This window comes from Homo sapiens, chromosome 2 (assembly GCF_000001405.40).
Source record: "Homo sapiens chromosome 2, GRCh38.p14 Primary Assembly".
In the NCBI taxonomy this organism is placed as follows: Eukaryota; Metazoa; Chordata; class Mammalia; order Primates; family Hominidae; genus Homo; species Homo sapiens.
Window position 1 is genome coordinate 43,043,977 of NC_000002.12, and position 6,208 is coordinate 43,050,184.

The 6,208-nt window shown below is 50.5% G+C and overlaps 3 annotated features.

The window, feature by feature from the left end:
* Positions 2,543–2,622: an enhancer, noted in NCBI's record as "active region_15657". NCBI's record gives its function as "activates an Ori minimal core promoter by ATAC-STARR-seq in GM12878 lymphoblastoid cells {active_cell/tissue: GM12878}" and the evidence as "EXISTENCE:reporter gene assay evidence [ECO:0000049][PMID:35858748]".
* Positions 2,543–3,289: a biological region, named in NCBI's record as "H3K4me1 hESC enhancer GRCh37_chr2:43273691-43274404".
* Positions 2,576–3,289: an enhancer, noted in NCBI's record as "H3K4me1 hESC enhancer chr2:43273691-43274404 (GRCh37/hg19 assembly coordinates)". NCBI's record gives its function as "activates a minimal SCP1, AML or CMV promoter by ChIP-STARR-seq in naive H9 embryonic stem cells {active_cell/tissue: H9 hESC(naive)}" and the evidence as "EXISTENCE:reporter gene assay evidence [ECO:0000049][PMID:30033119]".

The following is a 6,208-nucleotide window of genomic DNA, read 5'->3' on the forward strand; positions in this document are numbered from 1 at the left end:
GTGGGACCCCCCCTGACCTCATCCTGAGCCCCAGAGACAGAGCTGCCTTGGTCACTGGTGCATCCCAGCACCTGGTGTGTGTTGGGGGGTGGGGGGTCCTTCCCCCCCGCTGTCTGTCCCAGTGCAAAAAAGAAAGAGGGAAAGACTGGGCCACCGGAGGCCAGACAGGCCCAGCACGGATGTGGCCTCTGGGAAATGGCCCAGGGGCTTGCCCTCCTTCCCAGCTGGCTCTGGGAGCCTGAGCAGGGGCTGGCCCGCCCTCCCCTTTGTGACAGGGCAGGAGGGGGTTAGCCAGGTTACCTCTGTGGGCCCCAGCCCCTGAGGGGTGGTGGGTCTCTCAGCCAGGCTGGTCTGGGGAGCGGGGAGGGCATCCTGCCTCATTGTCACTGGCCCAGCGCATTTCCAGAAATTCTTCCCATCGGTAAGAAGAGGAAAGAGAGGCCAGGGCAGCCTCACAGGCCAAGTGGGAACCAGGTTTCCCGGAGCTCTCACGGCCCAGCCCGAGCTTGGGGCCTCCTGTCTGGGCCAAAGGGTCAGCTCAGCCCTGGGACGGGGATATGTCAGGAATAACTGGCCGGTGGACCCAGGACTCACCTTATCCATGCTGGGCCAGGCCGTGTTTGTGTTTGCAGGACAGAGACAGGAGGAAAGAGGCCTGGAAATGCCTGGGCTTCCCACAGGACTTATTTAACTCTAGCGTCAGGGAAGACTAAAGCTTATATTCATTCCACAGTATATACTGCCTCCCCTCTACCCTCATTTTAGTAGGTAGGTATAGTGTGAATGTGTGCAGGACATGTGTGCATCGTGTGTGTGCACGTAACCCGTGACATGTGTATTTTGGGCTAGTATAGATAGGTCTTGAGGGAAAGACAGAGGGCAATGTTTTTTCTTTCTCTTTTTTTTTGAGACAGGGTTTTGTTCTGTCACCCAGGCTGGAATGCAGTGGTAGGATCATGGCTCACTGTAGCCTCCAACTCTTGGGCTCAGGTGATCCTCTTGCCTCAGCCTCCTTGAGTAGCTGGAACTAGAGGCACACACCACCACATCTGGCTAATTAAAAAAAAAAAAAATTTGTAGAGGCAAAATATTGCTTTGTTGCCCAGGCTGGTCTGGAACTCCTGGCTTCAAGCAATCCTCCTGCCTTGGCCTCCCGAAAATTATTATTACTATTCTCCAGTAAAAAACATTTCCCTAGTGTGTTCTGCCTAGCACCATCCTACAGGGATGGCCCTCAATAAAACAGGTAGGTTCACAGGACCCTACACACCAACCACCCTAAGACTCCCAGTACACAATGTAAATATTCAAGTCTCTAAGAAATCCTGAAGAGACCCAACTCACTTTGGTTAATCCAGTGTTTCTCAAACTAATTTGACCACAGAACCCACCCCCGCCCCCAACTTTCTTTTTCCTTTGAGACAGGGTCTCGCTCTGTTGCCCAGGCTGGAGTGCAGTGGCAAAATCTCAGCTCATTGCAAACTTTGCTTCCCAGGCTCCAGTGATTCTCCAAACTCAGCCTCCTGAGTAGCTGGGATTACAAGCATGTGCCATCACACTTGGCTAATTTATATATATATATATATATATATATATATATATATATATTTTTTTTTTTTTTTTTTTTTTTTTTTTTTTTTTGGAGAGATGGGGTTTCGCCATGTTGGCCAGGCTGGTCTCGAACTCCTGACATTAAGTGATCCACCTGCCTCAGCCTCCCAAAGTGCTGGGATTACAGGTGTGAGCCACCAGACCTAGCCAGAACCCTTTTTTCATGGGACACATAGTCATAAAACAGATTTTCTAGAAATACATTTTGGGGAAAGCTACAATCAAGCTTTTGGGGTGGTTTTCTATCTTTGCTCCAGCCAAGGTGCCTCGAGGGGCATAAAGAAAAACGGGGAAATTAATCAGCTGGGCTCTGTGTCTTCATCCCACCCTCACCCACCCCAACTCAACCAGCAGGGCCTTTATTCTACTTTCAGTTTTCCACAATATATTTTTATTTTATGAAAGGGCTCTGTTGCTAAGTCTGAGAGTTGCTATGGTGTGCATGTTGGTGTCCCTGCCAAAATCATTATGATCATCATTTTTCTGTCACCTTTCAGTGTGACCGTGGGAACATCCCTGTTCCTCTCTAAACCCTGGTTTCCTCACCTGAGGCTGTACCCCTCAGATGCATTTGACATCCGGTTCCTTTCCTCCTCAATCCCTGAAGCTTTCATTCCCCCACAGTCTGCCTTCTCTTTCCCCTTTTCCTGATCCAATGAAGGGTCTGGGCTGGCAGAGACCTGGGCCCAGATAACAGCCAAACAATGGCAGCAGAAGCCTCCGAGCCGGGGTGTGGGAACCACCCAAGGTTATGGGGAGAGGGCCGGAAAGAGGAGGAGGAAACGGGGCAGCTGGACCGGCAGACATGTTGCCCCCAGCCCTGCCCTGGAAGCCCCGCTCCGAGGTTGGTGGAAATCAGCCTGTTTCTCTTGGATGGTCCCTGCTGGGCCACTCATTCATTCAACAGTTATTTACTGGACACCTACTTGGTGCCAGGCCCTGTGCCAGGAACAACCTTGCCCCTGGGGACTGTCCCTTCTACTCTGCAAAAACATTCATGGCTGCTGCCTCTGCACTCGCCCCGCCGTCCTGTGTGGCAGGAAGGGCTGAGGTCACCAGTCCCCCCGGACACATCAGAAGCTGAGGCTCAGCAAGCCGCCATGACTTCTGCAGGGCACATGGAGAGCAGCCTGCACTCCTGCTCTCTCCGCCCCACACCCAGCCTGGGGCCCTCTGCAGGGGAATAAAATCCTCTGGACATCTTGCCTGCAGGCAGTTAAAACAGATTGTTTTGCATCTCTCTCTCTCTCTCTCTCTCTCTCTCTCTCTCTCTCTCTCTCTCTCTCTCTCTCTCTCTCTCTCGCTCTCTCGCTCTCTCTCTCGCTCTCATTTTGTGGTCTTCGATGTACTAATGTGCTGGGCGAAGCAACCTTTACTGAGAACAGTTGTTATGGAAGCTCCAGTTGTCTGTCAGTTAATTATTACTTTTCTTAAGCCTTTGCTATCACCAGTGAAGCGCTCCAAATCTATCATGGAAATTGCTCTACTTCCCAGTGAAAACCCATTGGGAACTTTTCCCATCTTTGCTGAAGGGGTGAAAAGGTCTGGAAAGGTTGATGAGCAATTTTTCTTGGAAACTGGAAACCGCAAGCTTTTTTTTTAAAGAATTTTTTTTATTACAATAGCTTTTGAGGTACAAGTGGTTTTTGGTTACATGGATGAGTTGTACGGTGGTGAAGTCTGAGATTTTAGTGCACCCGTCACCCGAGTAGTGTACGTTGTACCCAAAATGTAGTTTTTCACCCCTCACCTTCCGCCCCTCCCACTTTCCGGGTCTCCAGGGTCCGTCCTACCACTCTGTATGCCTTAAGCTGCAAGATTTTTCATCAGGCACCATGAGCTGGCAGCAAGGTTTCCACAGGACCCCAGTCGCTTTCTGCATGTCTGGATTTCGCAGGGTGTGGGAAGCAGACCCCTACAATTCCTCACTTCCTCCTGGAGGGGCAAGCCCCGGGAAAGTCACAGGCCTCTTCTCTTTCATTTCTCCATGCAGCTCCACCGGGAGCTGTTTCAGACTGATGTTACTTCACGTCATTGCTGGGCCCTGCTCAAGGCCAGTGCGTCACAGAGCAAGGACACCTTATACTAGCCCGAAATACACATGTCACGGGTTACGTGCACACACACAATGCACACATATCCTGCACACATTCACACTATACCTACCTTTTCTATGTTCGTTGCATACAATAGGCATACTGCATGTACCCACACCAAACACATGTAAACATACCTACTGCATACCACCCACACACTAAATACACATTCACATCACATTTATACATGAACCTATGCCTTGTGTATCAACAGTCTACACACATATGCTACATTTACAAACACACATCGACAGACACACAAAATACACGCATTTCACAAAACTGTTCTTATTTTCTGATTAAAGTTCTTCTCAAGATTTTAGGCTCTATTTAAACCCAATTATATAACTCATCAATTTCTCTTAATCTGTTCTTTTGTTTGTTGACAATTTTTTTCTGTTTCAGCAAAACACAACAACCAAATTTTCCTTTTTTTTTTTTTTTTTTGAGACGGAGTCTCGCTCTTTCGCCCAGGCTGGAGTGCAGTGGCGTGATCTTGGCTAACTGCAACCTCCACCTCCCAGGTTCAAGCAATTCTCCTGCCTCAGCCTCCTGAGTAGCTGGAATTACAGTCACGCACCACCACACCTGGCTAATTTTTGTATTTTTAGTAGAGACGGGGTTTCACCATGTTGGCCAGGCTGGTCTCAAACTCCTGACCTCAGGTTATCCTCCCGCCTCGGCCTCCCAAAGTGTTGGGATTACAGGCGTGAGCCACCACACCCAGCCCAAATTTTCCTTCTTATTAGCTATAAATAAATGCAGCTGGGTACCAATTTCTCCACATGCCAGAAACGTAAATGGACCAAGAACTCTGATTTGTGGGTATTTACCCTTCCTCTAATTTTTTTGTTTGCTTGTTTGTTTTGCTCTTGTCACCCAGGCTGGAGTGCAATGGCCCAATCTCGGCTCACTGCAACCTCCGCCTCCTGGGTTCAATCGATTGTCCTGTTTCAGCCTCCCGAGTAGCTGAGATTACAGGCGCCCACCACCATGCCCGGCTAATTTTTGTATTTTTGGTAGAGATGGGGTTCCGCCATGTTGGCCAGACTGGTCTTGAACTCCTGACCTCAGGTGATCCGCCCGCCTCAGCCTCCTAAAGTGCTGGAATTACAGGCATGAGCCACTGCGCCCGTCCACCCTTCCTCTACTTCCTTATGAAACTGCAGCTATGCCTCTGTCTACATGAGACCAAGTGTCAGCTGCTTGGAGACACATGCCTTCTATCCAGATGTTTGGCCCTGGGGGAACACACAGATTTGTCACAAGTAGTGGAATAACCACTTCTCATGGGGGGTTGGTCCTCTGCCTACTGTTAGAGCACAGGATGTCACAAAGGGTGTGATGAAGATGGGAGAGGTGAAGCACATGTGCCACCCAACCACCTTGGGAGGCTACAGCAGACATCACTAATCCATCACAGCATCCATCCCTCTGATCCTGGACTTGGCTTCACAATCCTCCACACAGACTTACCAGTTAATCAGGACTGGCAAGTGAGGTAGGTAGGAATTATTTGGGATCCCATGGAGCCCAACTCCCTTGTACTAGGGGCAAGAAAACTGAGTCTCAGAGACGGTGAGTGATTTGTTTGAGATCACACAGCACAACTCAAGCTGCTTAGCCACAATGAGACAACCCTCACAGAGCCCCCTGCTCAACTCTGTGCTCCACAGATGTAGCCTGTGTGAGGGCAAGGGCCTCCTGGGAGCTGAAGAGGGGCCAGAGGGAGGCTCCCCAGACTTGAGTCTCCCAAGACACACTGAATCCCTATTGCCCTGGTCTAAGCCTTAGCTATCCTTGCTGGGACAAGCTGAGGGTCCCTGCTGTCCCAGATATCGCAGCCGTGGGCCCCAGTCCCTGGGCGTCTGGCCTTCAGGATCAAGGCCGGGAGTGAGGGGCCCTTCTGGGTTCATAAATGGTATCTTCCTTCCGTGTTCCTTTCTCTCCCCTGTCTCAGACCTCCCCTTTTCTCCAAAGCCTTCCCAACCCCCCAGGTCTCACCAGGTGCCTCTCCTCATAATTACGACACTTCAAACACAGATATTTGTCCCTATGCTGGCTTTTACTGGCCTCTTGGCTGGGCACGAGCCTCGGTCCCACAATGGAACCAGATGCGCTTTAGGGGCACACACCTTGGCTCATGTTGTGCCTCTGCCAGGATCACGCTTCTCCGCGCTCTCCTCTGCTTCCCACCCATCCTTTAATGCTCATCACAGGTGTCACCCTACCTCCCCACTCTTACTCCCAAAGGACAAATGTGCCTCGCTCTAAACCACTAAAACCATTTATGGGCTTTTCTCACAACCCTGGGCAAGTCCTACCTGCTGCTGTCATGTGAGTTTGTAGTGTCTGGTTTTTACCCCTAGTGCAGTGGGTCTTGCACTTCTCAGAACCACAGGACCGTTTTCCCAGAGGGGGCCCTGCCACCGCCCACCTGGCATCGCCCAGACAACTTGCGTTTTGTGTGGGAACTTCTGCCTGCCTGCACTGAAAGCTCC